Source organism: Homo sapiens, chromosome 6 (genome assembly GCF_000001405.40).
Source record: "Homo sapiens chromosome 6, GRCh38.p14 Primary Assembly".
Classification (NCBI taxonomy): Eukaryota; Metazoa; Chordata; class Mammalia; order Primates; family Hominidae; genus Homo; species Homo sapiens.
In genome coordinates this window covers 46880288-46902478 of record NC_000006.12, presented here as the reverse complement: position 1 = coordinate 46902478, position 22191 = coordinate 46880288, and the positions used below count along the sequence as shown (strand labels likewise).

At 41.8% G+C, this 22191-nt stretch overlaps 1 protein-coding gene and 1 long non-coding RNA gene across 10 annotated transcripts in view; both read left to right on the top strand.

Moving 5' to 3' along the window:
- The window catches only part of ADGRF5 (adhesion G protein-coupled receptor F5), a 102418-nt gene that overhangs the window by 52461 nt on the left and 27766 nt on the right, over positions 1 to 22191 (top strand). For 8 of the 9 annotated variants that reach the window (XM_047418326.1, NM_015234.5, XM_005248893.4 and 5 more), the window contains exons 3-8: positions 2396 to 2450; positions 13974 to 14144; positions 18208 to 18384; positions 18814 to 18920; positions 20372 to 20430; positions 20882 to 21024. In XM_047418326.1, coding sequence (XP_047274282.1) covers positions 2396 to 2450; positions 13974 to 14144; positions 18208 to 18384; positions 18814 to 18920; positions 20372 to 20430; positions 20882 to 21024 — 712 coding nt within the window. Of the gene's footprint in view, positions 1 to 1746; positions 1807 to 2395; positions 2451 to 13973; positions 14145 to 18207; positions 18385 to 18813; positions 18921 to 20371; positions 20431 to 20881; positions 21025 to 22191 lie in introns of all 9 variants that reach the window. The other variant, XM_047418327.1, reaches the window with a different exon arrangement.
- On the top strand, positions 14151 to 15877 carry LOC124901488 (uncharacterized). Its single transcript, XR_007059921.1, has 2 exons — positions 14151 to 14537; positions 15434 to 15877. It is a non-coding gene; the product is annotated as an uncharacterized LOC124901488 (long non-coding RNA).

Here is a 22191-nt window from a genome sequence, read left to right as displayed (position 1 = left end):
ATAATTGAAATATATCTTGATTTTAACATGTAACTGACAAGACAAGAGGCAAGACCTCAATGCTTTAGTCCTATTGGAAAGCAGAGAGAATGAAAACTCGACCTGGGAGAACTGCCCAAAGGTGACCATTGGCGGTCAAGTTCTCCTGTGTTGTCTGAGTCCCCTAACTGTTGCCTTGAAGTGTGGACAGAGAAAGCTCCCAGTGGCCACTCCCTCCTCCCCACCAGGCCCCAGAGAGGATGGAGGCAGGAAAGCACGAAGAACCTTCCTTTTGCCTGGGCAGAAAGCCAAAGCATTCTCCAAGGGAAGCTGGGCTGGAAACAGTCCTATACATTGACTTTGCACCTTCAGTTCCTGCATATTCAAGTACATCTAAAATAACTTCACTGCAAATAAAGCAGCAACTGGGCTTTTGAAATTCCAATCATCATCCATCATTCCCCTATTTATTTCTTCAAGAACGTTTATGAACTATCAAGTACACAGTCGCTCCCCATTTCCTATTGACTTTAATACATTCCTCAACCAGTACCTCCTAAGGGCATCAGCGAGGGGAACAGGTAAACCTTACATGGAGTGGTAAATTGCGGACATCTGATCTTTTCCTAAAAATGTAACTTAGTAAGAGGAGGGAGACCAGCCAAGGGAACTGTTCACTGGAAAGGAGGAGGGAATAGGAAGAGGTTATACAGACACCGAGAGAAACGGCTCTGGGTAAAGAGAGACCCGCTCCCTGAGACAAAGCCAGTTTCCCAGGACTCTGCTGATAAGATGATGCAGTGCCTGCGTGGACAAGTGCAGACTCTGGAGCTGGCTGGGTTTGAATCCTGCTCTGCCTTTAAAGTCTGTGTGATCCTGGGCAAGTTACTGGACCTCTCTCTGCCTGTGCTTTCTTATTAGTGAAATGTGGATAATAACAGCATCTACCCTTGTCTTGGCACAGGGTGTTAAATACATCTTAGGAAGTATTATGTTTGTCATTGTGATGATGTGAGATAACTAGAAAATAGTGGTAGACAACCCTGACGGCAGAATGAGCTCTGCCCCAGGTGGCGGTCATGGATGCGTGGAGTTCAGGGTAAAGCACAGATCTCTGTGGGCAGGGGTTATCTGGGAGACTTCAGAGAGATGGGGCTTTTCTATTGAGTGTGAAAGGAGTTTGGAGTGGAAAATACATCACAGGAAAACCTGTAGGCAGGCAGGGATCAGCTAGGAAATCCTTGTCAGGTCAAGGTATGGGGTAGGCTCTGTTACCAGCTGCAGAGCTGGTGGTGATCCCATGAGTGAAACTGATCAATGCCTATTCTTTAACAAAAAAGCTACAGGATGAAGGAGATGAACTTCACAGAAATGCACCAGGTGGCAGGTGCAGCATGATGCCCCCAGAGCATCTTGATGCCCCCTCCCTGAATAGCATTTACCATGTAACCAAAATTACTTTCACGGCCTTACATTTATTAATCATTTTGTCCTCGCATCAAAGTTCTGAGATAAGCTATATTCATCCCCATTCTATAGGTAAGAACTGAGGCACAGAAAGATTAAGTGATTTGCCCAAGGTCATACAGACATTTTATGATGGAGCTAGGATTTGAACTCAATGTCTGCAGAGTCCTTACTTTTAGTCACCACACTGTATAATAATAGCTAAAATGTATTAAGAACTTACTATATGCCATACTGTAGTTTGCTTAGTTCTCATAACAAACCTATGAAGTTGATATTGTTATTATTCTCATTTTACAGGAAAAAAACCCTGAAGCTCAGCGAGGATAAGTAACTTCCCCAAGGTCACAAAGCCACAGAGTAAGTGGCACAGTCTTGTACCCAGGCAGTCTGACTCTAGAGCAGGCTTTCTTAGTTCCTACTACAGAAACCAGCAATAGAACCATCCAGGAGAAAAAGGATCAGATGTAGAAAAAATAATTTCTAAGCACACACAATGGTTAAAGAGCCCTAATACAGCAGGAAGATTGGGGTTAGGACAGGGTGAGTGTTGAGAAGGAGGTCGTGAGACTTGTCTCGAAGGTCACTGGGATGACTCAGTTCAAGTCAGGCAGAGAGTACAAGTTTAGAACATTATAATAATTTATATTTTTGACGGGATTCAAACTGCAGGAACTCTGAGAAAGTCAGATATGATGATTTCTTCTGTTCCTGGTCTAGAGGCTGGTCTAAAAAAAAATGAATTCCTAGGTCACACTACAGTAACAGCTCCACTTTGTCTTCCAAACCATTTCATTGCTATGTGCCCAGCATCCACGGGACACATGGTGCTAACCCAAAGTCTGCAGCCTTAAGCTCAGCTCCAACATTTAGGGGTATCTAAGCGGGGAGCCACAGTGAAAAGACTTCTCTAACGTTAATTGACAACTTTCTCAAATGTTCTTTTCAGAGTCTTCATGAACATGAACCAGCTGGTGAAGAGGCACTGAGGCAAAAACGAGCCGGTATGTAAACTCTTGCTTGGCAATCCCTTTTATAAGTTGACTCAAATGGTATGTGTTGCAACTTTTTAAAACATTGTAGTCTACATAATTCAGCCTCCAATCACATCAGGGTCATATAGTGCAGTGTGATTTCCAAAAATAATTACTAGGAAACTCCATTCTCTACCAAATGACAGTAACTGGATCATAACAACACGTAAGAACCCTCCTTCCCTCCCCATTGCCATCACTGCTCCTCACATTCCTAGGATTTTTCTGTGGCTCCCTCCTCAGCTGCCCTCCCGCACCACCAAATGGTCTACTTCTCTGCCCACCATCCAGAAGCCTTTCTTTTTGCTTTAAAAAAAAAAACAAAACAAACAAAAAAAAAAACTTCTTTTACTTAGGACTTTATCCTGTGAAGCAATCTAACCACGAGGCTCAAGTCCTCCTCCTCTGTTTCCCACTCCAATTTTCCCACTCACTTCTAAAGCAGTGATCTGGAAAATACAAGACTCAGCCCTTTGGAGGGTTAGGGGTAGGTGAAGAGCTGCAAATTCTGAAACACCGACCCTCAAATCCCATCCTGAGTGGACCCTGCGCAGGTGTCAGGTCAGGGCCGCAGGCTGGGTATTCCCAGGACCTGGTGCTCCCACTCCCAGCATAGAAGCCCTTCAAAAGCACAAATCGGATCCTGTCATTTGCCCCCATAGAACTCTTCATGGGCTCCCTTGGCCTTGGAACTAAAAGCCAATCCTCTGCTTGTGACTCACCAGGCCTTCTGTGCCTTTCCCACCTGATCTCCTTCTGTTCCCTTTCACGTCATCAACACCCTGCCCATCATCCCCCTTTGTTTATCTGGGAGACCCCCACTGAAGCCTCAAGTCTTATGAACTCTTGCCCTGTTAGGCCCTCCATCCATTCCCCAGATCATCAGAGACTGCTTTTCCTGGGTTCCCATTCCCCTTGATACATTTCCATTCACAACATTTGTCCCAAAGCACTGTAATTATTTTACCTCCTCTTTACCACCCCCAGTAGAGGAGAGCTCACCTGCGTTCTCCTCATCTCTGTAGCCTGGCATCAAGCTCAGTTTCTTTCTCAACCAGTGAGCGAATAGATGAAGCACTTGCACGTTCACATTACAGCACCTTTCTGAATTCCTATCGGAAAACGTCTGCTGGCTGAGTGTCTGTACCAACTATCTAGAAGGAAAAATTTTTTACCCTATCACATTAGGATGGAATCATTTTTTCAGCCATGTGTGACTTGATCTAGTGAGTCTAAAAGAGACAGTAGGCTGCCAAAGAGGGCAGGCTTACCCTAAGATCAGAGTGGAGGCATCTGTTCAAGCCTTTCACGGTGCAGTGGCCAGACTCAACTGTTGTCCAGCGCTTGAAATGAGAATTTGACCACATTCTATTAAGCTCTTAAAATACTATTTGGAAGATCATACCACTGTTGGTTTTCCCTCTCTCCCTTTCTCTTCCCTTTCTTTTCTTTTCCGTTTCAGCCTTTGTTTTCTTAGCCCTGTGGGATCCCATGCTCCCTTTCTCCCTCCTTCCCTGAAGTGGCCTATGGCACAGTATATACGTTCTGTGCTCTAAAACAGGTATCATTACCTCTACCCCATCCCGACAACCCTTTAAACTTTTCTGCACTCTATGACAGGAACAAAGACAGAGATGTGCTCATTTGGTATTTTGAAAGACTTTGGCTTTTTAAAATCAAACTACTGGCCAGTGAGTTCCAGCTCCAGGTTTCTGCCAAATTCTTCTAAGGCTCAGGCTGCTGGCTTCCTCAGGAGCAGTGGGTGACTACAGCTGTAAAAGGAATGTCTTCCTGCACTTCTGAGCCAGGCTGTTTATGACCCGTGGTGACAACGTGAGGGGGTAGCCCTTGGGGAGGAAACCATTTCTACATCTAAGGATTTGACATTCCAAAGTTTTTCCAGGTGTGCTTTCATTAAAAACAATCATGACAATGTTAAATCAACATGAAAAGATGTTTTCCATTTATTATACATGGACCTCTGTGTTCTTGGGCCTCTAGAGTCATTTGGGAAGTGTTAATGAATCAACCCATCATCTGCAGAAGATGGATTGGCCTTGGTACTTTTACAAAATCGCTGAAGTAAGAAATGGCCATAGAAAAACCTAGGTACTAGGCCCCAGATATCCAGAATGTAAGTTGCAATTAAGAACATGACTCAGCGTGGTGGCTCACGCCTGTAATCCCAGCACTTTGGGAGGCCAAGGTGGGCAGATCACGAGGTCAGGAGTTCGAGACCAGTCTGACAAAACTGGTGAAACTCCGTCTCTACTAAAAATAGTCGTATTCCCAGCTACTCAGGAGGCTGAGGCAGGAGAATCGCTTGAACCCGGGAGGCGGAGGTTGCAGTGAGCTGAGATCGCACCACTGCACTCCAGCCTGGGCGACAGCGCGAGACTCCATCTCAAAGAGAAAAAAAAGAACACGACTCTCCAGGAAAATGATGAAAGGAAGCAACAGAAAATGTTACCTTCAACAGGATGCCACATGGAGGTGTCTGTGTTCTGCTTGGTGGGTGTGTTAGTTAAGTGAGGTGTTAGAACTGGGCTCTGATTTTCAGATTGCTATTCCCTTTTACATACACATACCTCTCCCTTTCTGAAGCCTGGATGCCAGAAGGATACAAAGGTTCTAGGAGAAAAACAATTAGGTCAGGAGTTTTTTTCTTTTTTTTTTGAGTCACTGGACAAAATCTTTAGCATTTGGAATAGAATCATCTTTAAAGATAGGATCAATACTTATATTTATTCTCAGCACACCATGAATTTCTACCCATGTGACTGGTCAGTTACATAACCTAACTGGCCCCTTGAATTTATATGTGTGTGTGTGTGTGTGTGTGTGTGTGTGTGTATATATATGCATGCATATGTCTGTGTATATGTGTATACATGTATATGAGTGTGTGTGTGTGTGTGTATACTGTTGTCCTTCCCTTGGTATCCATGGGGGATTGGTTCCAGGAACCCCTCAGATACCAAAATGTGCATATGCTGAAGTCCCTGATATTAAATTGTGTCAATTTGCATATAACCTATGTACATCCTTGAATATGTTTTAGATTATCTCTAGATTATTTATAATACCTAGTACAATGTAAATGCTATGTAAATAGTTGTTGTACTGTACTTTTTAAGTCATAGTGACATGAAAAAAAGGCTGTACATGTTCGGTATAGACAAAATTTTTAAAAATATTTTCCATCTGAGATTGGTTGAATCCATGGATGCAGAACCCCACAGATACAGAGGGCTGACTGTATTATATTACATATATATATATATGTATCACATATATATGTATCACATATGTATGTCACATTTACACACACACACACATATATCTCACACATATTACTTTATAGGGTTGTTAGGAAGATTAAATAAGGTTATGTTAATATTACTTTTAAAATGTTAATTGGATTATCTGGTGTTTATTTTTCTTTTAATAGTTTTTTAAAGAAATTTAAACAAAGAAAATCGATTTATTTATAAAATAGTGTTGCGTTTGAAAGGGCCTGATCTACCTCCAGTCCAGAGAAGGTATTCTGTACCACTTGAAGGCAGGGGCACAGATGCTGTGATATAGGAGTTAGCATTTTAGGAAAACTCTTTCAAAATTCTCTCAGGAAAAAGAAGCCTGCATGAAACCTAGAGGCGAGAAAAAGCATGGAGCTGCCTGTTAGGACAATGAGTGGCTGTAAGGGAGCAGAGAGAAATAAGAATGGGGGAAAGATCCCGAGTCATGTCACGATTCCATCAGGAAGTAGATTCTGGATCAGCTGAGCGGCTGCCACAGAGAGGTGACTGATGAACTCACTTAAGTGAAAAGTATCCCCATGGTTATGGCTAAATAAATTACACGAAGAAATTAGTGCCTGGGAGACCAGCCAGGAGGCTCGGCAGTCTAGACATGCGACTCTGCCATGGAGTAAGATAGGAAAGAAGCAGAGGAAATGCTCGCCAAAGACATTTTGAAAAACACAGCAAAAGGTCTTGGACAGATGTGACTTGGGGATGAAGGACAGCAATAATCCCTGTGACTCTTCAGGAGTGCACAAACCTAGGAGATGGTGCTTTGGGGAGGTCACAGGTAGAGACCAGAGTTGGAAGGAGAAGCTTGTTTTGGAGGTTTGCAGACAAACTCCAAATTTAGTCTTATGGGGACTCTTCATGGGGGAATGAAAGTGGATGTTTCTTATTGGTTAGAAGTAACACAAATATCAACTGGCCAAGTTCTCCACTCCAGCTTTCTGACAGAAGGGGCGTGTCTTGGAGCCTGGTGCTGAAGAGCCCCAGTTGATTATTCTCCGGCTTTAAAGGAATAACTGAGGAGAGGCAAAACAGCAAGAGAGGGGCATTCAGGATGTCCAAACCCTGCACTGGATGCGCTCACATTTTCACATCTATTTAGTCAGAGTAAGGTTCCTCCCAGATTGGGTCTCTGGCTGCTAGCACGGAAATCCTGCCCTTTCTGCAGGCCTAGCAACCTGGGTGTGCTGGCCCTTTTAGATCTGGGTCTAGGAAATGCCGTGCACTTCCCAGGTTGAGGAACAGACTTTTGGGTTTTCATGATTGCAGCCTTTCTGATGATGACATGTAGCCCTGAGTGCTCTGAGCCGGCAGTGATGGTGGTGGAGTGAGATAGAAGACCTGGTGCTTTCAGGCTGGTGTGTGGAGTTGGTTTTAAGCTTGACATTTAATGTTGGGAGTGTTTTGCTTTTTTAAAATTTTTCTGATTAATGTTTTTCTTTTTTGTTTGTTTTTTTAACTATACCAAAGGTGAAGCCTGATAGGAATAATGTTAGCGTTTCTTTTTTTTTGAGACAGAGTCTCACTGTGTCACTCAGGCTGGAGTGCAGTGGTGCGATCTCGGCTCACTGCAACCTCCGCCTCCCAGGTTCAAGCAATTCTCCTGCCTCAGCCTCCCAAGTAGCTGGAATTACAGGTGCATGCCACCACACCCAGCTAATTTTTTGTATTTTTAGTAGAAACAGGTTTCACTGTGTTGGCCAGGATGGTCTCCATCTCCTGACCTCATGATCTGCCCGCCTTGGCTTCCTAAAGTGCTGGTATTACAGGCGTAAGCCTCCACACCAGGCCCTTAATGTTAGCATTTCTTGACCTATCAGCACACATCTGCATAAAATATAATCATTATATTTATGATAATCAGAATTACTATTTTACTGGCAACTATATGCCAGACACTTTGTTAGGGGTTTTCATGTAGGATTCCAGCTCTTTAACAATAATCCTGCAGAGAAAATACTACCTTTCATTTACAGATAAGCAAAGTATGGCTCACAGAGTTAAATGACCTGCCCAGGTCAGAAGACATTCCTTCCCCATTCTCTCTGGCTCCAAAGTCCATGCTTATAGCTATGAGTTATAGTTTTCAACATGTGTTCCTGGTTGGCTCATGAAGTCTCATTTCATGGCTCTTGGAACAGCTTTGTAGTGTAAGGAAGACTGGTATATCTGCCTTCATCTTACTAGGTAAGATGGGGCTAACTTTGATGATTTGGGTATATGGCTATCTAGTGGAATGAATTCTCTTCCCTAGACTTCACAGTCTGGTGTTTGATGACACAGTGCTGCCCACTTTCTCCTCCATCTACACCTGCCAGGTAGCCCATAGCCTTGGGTTCTGATGATTTTCTTCTTTGTGAACAAATCTTTCTGAAACCTGAAGAGAGAATGAGATCCCTTCACTGCATCTGCAGAGCAATCACACAGTAGTAGACAGACAATGCTGCCAAATTGCCACCTTCTAGAATATGTCAAGAAACAAGCCAAATGGTAGGTATCTTTTGATATTTACTTGCTAAGACCAACAGGGAGAAACAGGAGAGCCAAACCATCAATGGTAAAATTGCATTGGCCTCTTTAGTCAAGAGGAAGCCAAACCAACCAATCTCTTTTCTCCTGGGTGAAGTTAGCAGGGAAGAAGTTAATTTACCCATCTACTTAAGCTCTGGCTCTGACAAACCATAGTTCCCATTAGTGTTTCCAGGCAAAAGTAGAATTGTTTGCTTAAACAGCTGTGATTAAGACCTAAATATCTTGGTTGCAGTTTGTGGCCAACTTTCCAGAAATGTCCCTGTAAGATAAGTGCTGTGTGGCTGGCAGTGATTTATGGGAAAGGAGAGGGGAAATCCTGGTTGTCTTGTGCCTCCTGGGCCTGCTGATAGGCCTCTGTCTGTGACACTGATGACACCTGGAATTGGCTACCTTCCACATAGGGCATCAGCGAGCCAGAAAAATCTAGATAAACAATGCCAGGGGCAAAGAAAACACATTAAACTATCAGGATTCAGACATCCTGAGGAGCAGAAGAGGATGAGAGTGCATCCAAAACACACACACAGAAGTTGAGGAACTGTCCTCATGCCTCCTGGTCCCTGGTAGTCTGGAGAAGGACAAGGAATGTTACTTTACAGGCTCTGAAGTCCTCAGGTTGAGCGGGACAGGTGGGTTTGGCATTTCTAAGCCTAAACTCTGGGCCTTCTGAGGGAATGAGGTGAGAGAGCCTCTGACCCCACCGCTATGTGGGTCACGCTGATCGCTGAGCATCTAAGCTGCTCCTTAGGTGCTGATCCTGTCACCTCGGTGCATTACAGGGGAAAAAGTCTCAGCCACAGCCTCTATGTTCTGTTTGCCTATAGGACCATGATACTGTTCCAGGCTTCAGAGGAGAAGAAATGACCCAATTTCAAGTGCGTACTGGGGGATTGAGGGCATCTTCTTGCTATTCCTCAAGCAAGCCAAGAGGGTTGCTATCTCAGGGTTTTAACACCTGTTTACTATTCCTAGAGTGACATTATCCAGAGAGCTTCCTGGTTCATCCCTTACTTCATCTGAGTCTCTGCTCAAAGTTTACTGCTTGAGAAAGGTCTTTTGTAACCATTCTACAAAAAAAAAAAAAAAAAAAAAAAAAATCCCTGTTGTCCCCATCACTCTTGCCTTCCTTTATTAAATTAAAATGTAAACTTATCTTTTGCCTCCAGTATAATGATGAAAGATCCTCAAAGACAGGGCTTTGCTCCTTTTATTCACCCTGTGTCTCCAGCTCCTAGTGCAGTGCCTAGAAAACAGGCATTCAATAAATAGTAAAATTACAGGTAAATCATTAAATCAAGGAACAAACAGATGAGCGGAGCAACGCTTAATATCAAAATACATGAGTGTCAATGACAATGGGTCACAATGCATTTTTCCTGAATGTGAACTTTTTCTTTTCTTTTTCTGAGATGGGGTCTATCTCTGTCTCCCAGGCTGGAGTGCAGTGGCGCAATCTCGGCTCACTGCAACCTCCACCTCCAGGGTTCGTGTGATTCTCCTGCCTCAGCCTCCCAAGTAGCTGGGATTACAGGTGCCTGCCATCACACCCAGCTAATTTTTGTATTTTTAGTAGAGATGGCGTTTCACTGTGTTGGCCAGGCAGGTCTCGAACTCCTGACCTTGTGATCCACCCGCCTCAGCCTCCCAAAGTGCTGGGATTACAAGCGTGAGCCACCGTGCCTGGCCCTGAATGTGAATTTTTAAGACATTTATTATGTTGAATAAAATTAAACAAAGGCTTACATAATTCTTTGATTTATTATTAATCATTTTGCCTTTGAACTTGATTTTATTTTAGAATTTACTTTAGGAATTGTATATCAAAGTTCTAAAGACACATTTAACAATAATAACTCATATTTTTAATAGTACTTTAAAGTTTACAAAGTGGTCCCATTTACTTTGGTTCACATGGGCTGAGCTCCAAAATCTCTCTCTCTCTTTCTGTGTGTGTGTGTGTGTGTGTGTGTGTGTGTGTGTGTGTGTGTGTGTGTGTGTGTATTTGTGTATTCCCTAGGTGTATGTAATCCTCAGTTAAGTTTGGGGATCACTGGAGTAGATGATTTCCGAGAGTAAGCCAACAGCCTGCTAAATTACAGTGGTGTTTTTGAGCCTGTTTCAAATAATTGAGTATTTTCAAGGAGAAGGCATTTCCTTCTCTATTCGAGGTTCCCCATCCATATCAGTTTCTACAGAGGTGACGCTCAGGCTGAGGGTGATTCTGAAACTCTTTTTAGAAGCTGTTGGAGAACATAAAAGGTAAAGGAAAGAGGTCCTTAGAGGCTGGGTGCTCACATTAACAGCTGCAGGAATGCTATAGACTGAAACTTGCTAAGGTCACAAGAGCCTTTCCTCTTAGTTCTTGATGCTTTGGCTTGGCTCCTTGTAAAATCTGAGCAGAACTGCCTTGGTTTCAATGGGGAGTGATAACATCCGTGAATCACCATGTGCTTTCTAGGCACACACTTGTTCTTCAGTTGTGACTGAAAAGAGCACAGGGGCAGACATGACCCTCAGGCAGGCATTGATATTTTGTGGGATCAGGTCCTGGGATTCAACAAAGCCAGTAATGAAGTGGATATGATATGAATTTGTTACTGACCTCACCCATCCAAAAGGCAGCTACCATCCAGGAAATCCTGTTTATATTTATGGGAGGATAGTAGACTGGCATGGCAAAGAGGATCCTGGAGGTAGTGAACCCTCTGGAGGATATAAACGTTGCTGCATTACTTTTCAGGAAAAAGAATGTGCGCTAAGGCAGAACTTGTAAATATTATGCAGCCTTTCTCCTCGTAAATATTCCCAGTGGACCACATAATGTGTCCATAGTTAGAATCACATAAAATAAGATTAACCATTCTTCCAGGAAGCTTGTTTTCATCACAGAACCATTGGAGAATCAGAAAGTCAACAGGAAATTTTAGGCAATGCCATACTATCATCACAGGCTGAGTTTCCGCATTCTTATAAAAGTCACTTTATTCTATTTGTCAAATACATTTTTATAAAGAAGAAGTATACCTTAATATTCACTCTTAATTTTAGGAAAATATGCGACAGACCTTTTTTATAGGCTGAGTTAATTGCAGAAGCTGAATGATGCCAGGATGAAATAATTCTCAACAAGGTTGATGGGTAAATCCAAAGACCTAAGACAAACAGTTTTCCAAGCTAAATGAACAAATGTTACAGCTTTCTGAAATAAACATTCAACAATTAGAGTTTCCCAGGATAAACTTACTCTATTTTAGTATTTCACACCAAGAGTCCTTGGAATATTTAAATCTTGAAATATTATGGGAAAATTTTTTGCCCTTTTAACATAGAATTTTAACTTTATGGTACAATAAACTTCATCTTTTCAGATAGAATGTAAATTTTAAAGTAATCATTTTATAAGTATTCACTAATTTTTTCCTTATTTTTTTCTTTTTTTTGAGATAGAGTGTCTCTCGCCGCCCAGGCTGGAGTGCAGTGGCACGATATCAGCTCACTGCAACCTCTGCCTCCTGGGTTCAAGCGATTCTTCTGCCTCAGCCTCCTGAGTAGCTGGGATTACAGGCACACGCCACCATGCCCAGCTAATTTTTGTACTTTTAGTAGAGACGGGGTTTCCCATGTTGGCCAGGCTGGTCTCGAACTCCTGACCTCAAGTGATCTGCCCGCCTCGGCCTCCCAAAGTGCTGGGATTACAGGCGTAAGCCATGGCGCCCGCCCTACTTTTTTCCTTATTTAACTGACAAGATAAAATATTTTCAATGACTGGGCACAGCAGCTCATGACTATAATCTCAGCACTTTGGGAGGCCAAGGCAGGCAGATCGCTTGAGCCCAAGAGTTCAAAACAAGCCTGGGCAACATGGCGAAACCCCATCTGTACAAAAAGTACAGAAATTAGCTGGCCGTGATGGTATGAGCTTGTAGTCCCAGCTCCTCGGGAGGCTGAAGCCAGAGAATCACTTGGGCCCAGGAGGTGGAGGTCACAGTGAGCCAAGGTCGTGCCACTACACTCCAGCCTGGGCGACAGAGAGAGGTCCTGTCCAGAAAAAAGAAAAATATTCTCAATTTATCTGTGTAAAACTTTCTTATTCCTTGAAGATTCTTTATTAAGTATTAACTGTGGCCATGGCTTCAGTTATATATTCTAGCCAAGATTAGGTCATAGATCTGGTCAGTGACAGAGAGTTTCAGGTTTAACAAGAATTGATTCGTCATTTATTTATAATGTGGTGAGCTCTTTGCCAGATGGAGTAAGTAAGGCTAAGAGAAGTGAAAGAAACATGAAAGAAACAGTTCCTGCTCTTGGGAAGCTTAAAACTGTGGCCCAGACATGATGTGGTATAGAAAACTATGTATATATATATATATATATACACACACACATAATATATTATATATAGTGTTTATATATAATATATAACGTTTGTACAGACTATATATATAGACTAGACTAGACAGTCTAAATATAGTCTATATATGTATATATAGTAGTCAATATAGACTACCATAGTCAAGGTGGATCTGTTCCTCAACACACACCTACCTCAGGCAGGCCAGACTATATATATATATATATATATATATACACACACACACACACATATATATATAGTGTCTATATAAACATAGAGTAGACTATATATAGTCTCTCTCTATATATAAACTTAGACTATATATAGCATACTATATATAGACTTTAGTATATATACTATATAAAGACTATAGTCTTTATACTTTATGTAGTATATATACTATACAAAGACTATGTAGTCTCTATACATAGACTGTATATGGACTACTCTATATAGACTACTGTATATAGACTATATATACTATATTACTATACTATATATACTGTACTATATATACTATATAGTATATATAGTAGTCTATATATATAATTCTATATAGAGACTGTATATACTATATATACTCTCTCTATATATTTTATATATATATATATATATGTATACACATACACACACATATACATATATATTAGCCTGCCTGATGTAGCTGTGTGTTGGGGAACAGATCCATCTTGAATGCAAGCCAGGTAACCACCCGGAGACAATTTGGAAAAACAATGAAGAGCTGAAAATCTCTTTTATTTTACTATCCAATTTGCCAAACTTTTGTTGAGCACCTCAACAAAAGCAGTGTCCAGTTCTGAACACTGGAGATACAGAGGAAGAGCAAAGAATATATGCTGTTTCCATAGGCTAAGGGCAAAGAGAATTAACTGGGTGACTTTTCCCAGATGTCTTCAATCCATGCATGGTTCAGCCCTTAGAGTGTGCATCTATCGAATGATGCATACTGCAGATGAAACACTGACTCACTCCTTTGAGTCCTGACTGTGACATATTTTGCCCGAACAGTTCCCAGACCCTCCCTGCTATTCTCTCTGCTTCCGCTCTTGCCTCGTTACATTCCATACTTCACACAGCAGTGCTTGGCCTTGGACACCAAGGTGGTGAGTAAATAAACCTTCTTTTTCTCTAAAGATTTCATTAGAAATTCCTAAGGGTTGATAGACCAACCATTCACATGTACCTGTCATTACCTTTAACTGCTGAAATATCCATCATGATCTTACTCCATCTCCCATGGTAAGTTCTCTCAGCCTTCATGTGCTTTCATTGCAGTTGCCACAAAAAGTCCTACGGCTGAAGAATACACTGTTAATATTGAGATCAGTTTTGAAAATGCATCCTTCCTGGATCCTATCAAAGCCTACTTGAACAGCCTCAGTTTTCCAATTCATGGGAATAACACTGACCAAATTACCGACATTTTGAGCATAAATGTGACAACAGGTGAGTAAGAGACCCATTGCTTCAGAATAAATGATTGGATGTCTTGAGACAGACTGTCTGAGCTCCTGAGTATCAGAGCAATCTTTTACTTAGTAGGCAAGTGAAATGACTCACCGAGACGGATGTGTGATTCTGTGACTTCACAGCCTTCCTGAATGAAGCCTCTATCAGTAAACTCTGCAGCCAGAGGTTTCTTATTTTAAATGGTGACCAAAGGTTTGCTTGGTGGTTTGTATGATGCTTGTCATAAAGTGATCCCAAGATATGGCCAGGTCCTTCATAATAAACTACTGGGTCCTCTTCCCTTGGGCAGATAAACTACTGGGTCCTCTTCCCTGTGTCCTCCTCCCTTGGTATATCAATGGACACAACAAGGACTGGTTCAAGATATTAGTAAGTACCAGATACCCTTCTCTTTGGCATTATAGGTCAGGAAATAGGAAACAGGTACATGCCTGCATCAGAAGCAAGGCATTAAGTAGAACCTCTTAGGCCATAGATTGGACTTTCTGGTTGCAAACTCTTTTCCAAGGTCATGCTAACTTCCCTATGTCTCCAGAAACCATCACCCAAGACTTGGTATACAGTAGAAGTTGTGAGATAAGGCTTCCAGTTATCTGATAACAGGGAATTGTTTTTTAAATTGGAAAGCACTAATAGATGTTGGGTTTTATTATTCTAAAATGAAGGCAAGAAAAAATTCCTGTTTTTGAAATTCTTCTTGAATTCGCATATTTCAAATAGTCCATCCCAATGTCGGTACATGCATTTTAATTTTTGATTCTTAATATATGTTACTCGAAGTCATAGCTCCCTTATCACTCCTTTTGGATGCCATTTCCCACTGATTTCTACCATTAGCACTAATTTCCTTGAGTTAGTGGTTTTCCAGTTGGATGCCAATGTGCATTATGAGTCCTTCAGGAGCAGTGAACTTCTGCTGTGTTTCCCACTGTTTATCCATAGAACATCTCACCGAACTAGGGTACTTTGGAAAATACATAAGAAACACCCTTCTATGTTCCCACCCGGCACAGATCTTTTGCCTTTAGAATAAATTATTGGATAGATTTTAGTCAATTTTGCTTCCCAAATTTTTTAACAGAAACCTTTTGGTATCTCTGTAGGTGCTAGTAAGTGAATCCAGTAAACAAAACAGACCAAGTATCAAAAATAGTTTTTTGTTGAACAACTTGTGATTATAGACACTTGAGCTTTAGTTGTGAGTTTATCTTACATATATTCAATATAAACATACTAACAAACTCTCTCTGATTTTTTTCTACTAGAGATGGGATGACTTCAAGAGGCTTCACCATCTTAAAAACTTGGGTTAACAAGCTTCTCAATTAAAATGCAATTGACCTTGGAAAGTTTAATTTATCCTTCCAGAAAGACTGGTCATTCACACATAGAGGGGGTGAATCTTTTCTGATAGTGATCTATGAAACAGGTTTGACAAAAGTGGATACTTCAATGTGGCAGAGAAAGCCTCAGGCTCATGGACCTCAGGACCAGCAGGGAACAGCTAAGAGGAGTTGGCCTAAAAGAGGAAGTGAATGGGATGGGTGGGCAATGAAGGTTAGGCCTACTGACCATGGCACTAATGTCTAAGCATCCAAACTTTCACCATCTTCCTTTTTCCATCCTTCCCTCGCCTCATTCTTCCAACAGCCTACCTTATGATCCTTTTTTAGTAATGGCAAATAAAACTGAGGATATTTAAAACCGGACAATGTGAGTAAAGCACCGAACAATACCTGGGATATGTCAGGTGGTCTGGAAGTGGTAACTTTTTCCATTCTCCTAAGGCATGTTTGCATTTTATGTGGGACTCAAAAGTTCTTCAACTACTCCTCCCATAATGCTCCCTTACAAAACAGAAGACAATAACAAAATTGCTTTAGCACTGGAATTTCATGTCAGTAAGAGAGATTTCAACAAGTGGGATCCTGTTGGCTATCCTCAAATTACCTCTAGCGGGCACTCAGCTTCTTTGTTAGTAGCTCCAGTTTCTTCTATTTCTAATTCTCCTGCCCCACTGCCACCCACTGCTGGGACACAGGCTGCATCAGTGCCCAAGGAATTAACTCGAACGTGTTGTCCCTCCTATTTCAGAAACAACTATTTGATAACTTCCCTTTGGATAGTCACTCTGTGGGACTTTGCCTGGCTACCCATCTGCAGAACAAACAGCTCCCAAAGATGTGACTTTGGTCTAGCTTTGGAAATTGATTCAAAGCACTCTGATTTCAGAACATTTCTTACTGTCTCCAATGAGAGCAGAGTTCATGTAGGCTGTTCACACCTGACTTGATATGTAAAAGACACAAATTTACTTGCACTCTACATTTGTTATCTATTGGTGCACAACAGAGTCTAAAACCTAGCATCATAAAATAACAAACAGTTATTATCTGAGAGTTTTTTAAATCATTGTATTTATATTTGTTAAGAATTAAGATGTAGAAGGTGGAAGTATTGATGAGTGTTGGTACTAACAGTTATATGAAAATAAACTTCTATACACGTATAAACTTATTTGCCTTATAAACTATATCTACAATAGTCTACAAATAGAGGTATGCTCTAACATACATCCTGCAGCATTTAACATGTAGAAAGGAAGCATTGGTCCTTTTTGCTCACTCTGGGAGATGAAAATGCACTAAAGCCGTGAAAGTCACTCACTGCAATGCCAAGGTTGACCCTTCTTTTTATGTGGTACATAGGCCCAGAGATGAACCAGCCCCAGGCCAGAGGGTCTCACTTTAATTTGAGAATGCTTATTCTTCCTCACTGGGGCTTCCATCAAGACAAGACCTCTTGTTTTTCTCTGCGAGTGCGGGATGTAAAAGGAAACTTTTTTCTTTTTGTCTTTGTGTCCTAAGCAGGGTTTTTATGGTAATGGAAAAACAAAAAGTTTAGTTCTCTTATTAGAAGATAGACTCAGTTTTTGAGGGTCAGAAATCTTAGAGCAGCTTAGCTGGGTGGTTCTGGCTCAGGGTCTCTTGTAAGTTTATAAATAATCTATCAACCAGTGCTGTCATCATATGAAAGCACAACTGGCATATGAAAAAAAATTCTGTTTTTTCTTTCTTCCTTTCTTTCTTTTTCTTTTTCTTTTTTTTTTTTTTTTTGAGACAGGGTCTCACTTTGTTGCCCAGGCTGGAGTGTAGTGGTTGCAATCTCAACTCACTGCAACCTCTTCCTCCCAGGCTCAAGCAATCCTCCCACCTCAGCCTCCTGAGTAGCTGGGACACACCACCATGCCCAGCTAATGTTTTTGTATTGTTTGTAGGATAGGGTTTTGCAATGTTGCCCAGGCTGGTCTCAAACTCCTGGGCTCAAGTGATCCAACTGCCTTGGCCTCCCAAGTGCTGGGATTATAGGAGTGAGCCACTGTGCCTGGCCTGTAAAATTTATTTCTAAGCTAACTCATGTGGTTGTTGGCAGCCTCCAGTTCCTCACTAGCTATTGGCTGTAGACCTCAGTTCCTTGCCATGTGGACCTCTCCATGATGTGTCTTCATGCCATGGCAGTCAACTTCCCCCAGAGTGAGGGGAGAAAGAGAAAGAGAGAGAGCAACCAAGAGGAACTATAGTGTTTTTAATAACATAATCTCAGAAGTGCCATACCATCACCTCTACCTTATTCTGTTGATTACATAGACCAATCCTAGTACAATATAAGAAGGTAGTACAAAAGGGTTTGAATACCTAGTGGTAGGGATGGGCAAAGGTCATCTTGGAGGCTAGCTACCTTATACTTATCATCATAGACATCTGGTGGCTATTAGCTATTAGGCATGACTATCTAAAAGATGACTTAGCCATTCATCACTCAACCGTCACAGCAGTCATCTTTCAGATTGTCATGGCTAATAGCATGGTGATGCATACATGCAAATATCAATTTTATGCAGTGCTATTGAACTTCTCAGAAAGGTAATATAAAGTCAGATTCGGATGTTCTTCAAGAATGAATACCTGCAGGCTATAAATACAAATATGGTGACCACCTTCTCCACCTTCTCTCTCCTTGCTGTTCTGATTAACGATAGTCTGCAGACCTGCTGGAAATGAAATCTGGTGCTCCTGCGAGACAGGTTATGGGTGGCCTCGGGAAAGGTGTCTTCACAATCTCATTTGTCAAGAGCGTGACGTCTTCCTCCCAGGGCACCATTGCAGTTGCCTTAAAGAACTGCCTCCCAATGGACCTTTTTGCCTGCTTCAGGAAGGTAAGTAACTGCTCATTAAATGCTCGTTGAGTGGCTATTCAACATCAGTTTACGACTGGGCATGGTGGCTCATGCCTGTAATCCCAGCACTTTGATAGTCCGATGTGGATGGATCACCTGTGGTCAGGACTTTGACAGCAGCCTGGCCAACATGGTGAAACCCTGCCTCTACTAAAAATGCAAAAATTAGCTGGATGTGGTGGCACATGCCTGTAGTCCCAGCTACTCGGGAGGGTGAGGCAGGAGCATCACTTGAACCTGGGAAGCAGAGGTTGCAGTGAGCTGAGATCGTGCCGTTGCACTCCAGCCTGGGAGACAGAGGGAGACTCCATCTGAAACAAACAAACAAAAACAGCTTACAAATGTTTCTGGTTTGTATATACTCAGACATTAACATATTTTTAAATATTGCCCTGTGTTTTTCAACAGATGTTACCCTGAACATGAGAGTCAGACTAAATGTAGGCTTTCAAGAAGACCTCATGAACACTTCCTCCGCCCTCTATAGGTCCTACAAGACCGACTTGGAAACAGCGGTAGGTTTTGGCCCCAAGAACCTCTTAACTAACAAACTGTTTGGACTGAACTGAGTCTATTGCATTCACAATGAACATGGCTTGGATCTGTCAGAATTTACGGATGTGGATTTATTATTCTTTTACATCTGAGATGGTGAATTAATATGTGCTCAAATCAAATCATGTTTAGGGGACAGTGTGACTCACCTTGACCTATAAGCATAAATTTTTCTCAGGGTGGAACTGGTTCAGTTAAGATTTCGTGGCATCAATTCACTAAAACGTATTCAAAGCCCCAAGAACCTATAGCCTACAAGCATGAGTTGGTGCATTTCTATTATTCATATATCACATGAATGAAACCCCTAACAACTTTTGGGCAGACCAACCCGTGGCTGAGCACAGAGGGTCTCAAACCACTCTACACCAGAGGTTGCTAGGCATTCATACCTAAGACAGATATAAATTGATTCACATAAAAATAGAGAGTATTCCAACAGTGTTAACTGTTTGTCAGCCCTGTCTTGAGTGCTTCACATTGAATTGATCCATCTAAACCTAAACACTTTGCTAGAGTTAACATATTTGGAACAGAGCTTCCCAATGGATGTGGCACAGATTATTACAGGTGGGCTGAGATAATGACTTCCCTTCTCCTGGCAGCCGAGCCCTGTCTTAGGCTGTCAGCTGAGCCCTGCCTTAGGCTGTCAGCACCCTCCTGCTCATCTCAGCATGTAACCCAAATATTGTCATCTCCCATGAGTGCCTTGATGAAGTGCCGCTTCAGAAGAGCTCTTGGATGTTTGATTTACATTTCTGGCATGTAATATGTCTGCACAGCAGGAGAACCCTCCTCACACACACACTACACTAAATTATATGCTTTGAAAGAGAGAGTTACATAGCAACCACCTAGGTACCTGGCACACCAACCAATCCTGCAGTATGGCAGCCATGAGGGTGCCCCTCACAAACCTCCAACTACAGGTCATGTAATGGAGCAAGGGCTGCAGCTGCTGCTTCTGAAATCCACGACCATCACCGCTGCTCCCTACCAATGAAGGGGCACAACACATCTGTGTCTGGCAGACACTGGGACTCCTTGGAAGGCTTTATTGAACATTTCCAAGCTCAGGCTAGGATGATTTTAGCCAACCTTCCTTCCCTCTCTTTCATTTGGGAGTCTGATGGCTCTCTCTGTCTTCCCTGCTCCCTCCACGTTTTCTTTCCTAGACATTTCCCTGAGTAAATTTTTTGCACATTTCATCTAGTCTACTTCTCGGAGGACCCAGGCTGACATAGATAGGAATTACTTCTTCAGAAATCTAATGCCCACAGTTAACAAAATAGACAGAAGATAATTTTACCTAGTGTGATTAGGAATATGTGGTTTTTACTCTGCTTCAGATCTTTTGATACACCTATTTCTCGACTTTGATATATGACATTCATCTTGCTTTATTTTTCAGTTCCGGAAGGGTTACGGAATTTTACCAGGCTTCAAGGGCGTGACTGTGACAGGGTTCAAGTAAGAATACTTTAATTTGATCATTTCTAATTTATGGCTGGGATCCATATGGTAGTGAAGGAGGTAAACCCCCTAGAGAGGCATTATTCATGTGGAATCCTCAGCAGGAGCAGTTTGGTAGAGGTGAAAAAAGTACCTCACCCCTTACAGATGTACCTGTTTAAAAGAAAGAGAGAAAAAGACTTGTGTTCATTCTATATATGTGCAAAAAATTTTGCAAGCAAAGATAAGGGATAAGTTTGTAGTCCAAATAGTTCAGAAATATAAAAATGAAATAATGCCATGCAATGATGTCTTTCTTCCAGAAGATCCTGCTGGCCAGTCAGATCCATAGATTTGCATGCTGCATCAGGCAGTTTGTGCTATTTTGTTTCCTAAGCAAATAAGCCATAAATATCTAGACTCTTCCAGGTCAGTTATTGTTTTACTGAACTGAGTGGTCTCTGTCCAGGTCTGGAAGTGTGGTTGTGACATATGAAGTCAAGACTACACCACCATCACTTGAGTTAATACATAAAGCCAATGAACAAGTTGTACAGAGCCTCAATCAGACCTACAAAATGGACTACAACTCCTTTCAAGCAGTTACTATCAGTAAGTGAAATTGTTTAGATATGGTCATGTTATTTATGGTTATGCGTAAACCTAGGAAATTAGTTTATGCTACAATGTCCTCTGGGAAGCTAGACACTCCAGTTCCTGGCACAGGGGGTTCTGTACCACCTCCTCCTCTTATGCCAGTGCCTCCCAATCTGACTAATGCCACTGTACCTGGGGTGTGTGGAAAAGGGGCACAGGGATTTACAAGGGGGCCACAGAGCCATCTGGGTTTGTGTATAACAGATCCAAAACTAAGTAAAAAAAGTAAAACTAATATCACAGTGGAGGTTTAAATATTCACAAAATGCACCAATAAGAAATAGAGGGCCATTGTTTTAGAGCAGTAGGCCTCAGAGTGCAGCCCTCTGTCATCCCGGCTGGAGTGCAATAGTGTAATCATGGCTCTCTACAGCCTCTACTTTCCTTGCTCAAGCGATCCTCCTGCTTCAGCCTCTAGGGTAGCTGGGGCCACAGGTGCACACCTCCATACTCAGCTAACATTTTTTTTTTTATTATTTTTTGTAGAGATGGGACCTCACTATGTTGCCCAGGCTGGTCTCATACTCCTGGCCCCAAGCAAACCTCCCACCTTAGCCTCCCAAAGTGTTGGGATTACAGGCATGAGCCACCATGCCTGGCTGTGTTTTTATTTTTATTTGTGAAATGATAAGGCAGTGATCCCATGGATTTTTACTGCCAAAACAATAATAAGAGCTACAGTTTCTCCAAGTCACCTCCCAATGTAACTCTCTCTTGCTGCTCCTGTTTTCCAGACAGTGGAACTAAGGCTCGGCCAGACTAAGCAAGTTCCTCAGGGCCACACAGCTATGGGTGGGACAGAACCAGGATTCAAATCCAAACTTACTGTCTATAAAGCTCCCACTCTTAAAGAGGTCCATGAGTATTAGGAAATTCTTATTTCTCAAGCAGACTTTATTATAATTAATTAATTTGTTTTTACATTTCTAAATCCTTCAAGACTTAGGTCAGAGCTTTCAATAAGCTTGAGATATTGGTTACTGATAAGAAGCAGTTGATATTATTCCAGTGTGTAGCACAGAAACTTGGTATTTAAGTTTGTTTTTTTTTTATAAAAAAATGTGCAATTTTCTACCACACTTTTTGAAATATTGAAAATAGCTTTAAAATCTCCATTACTGC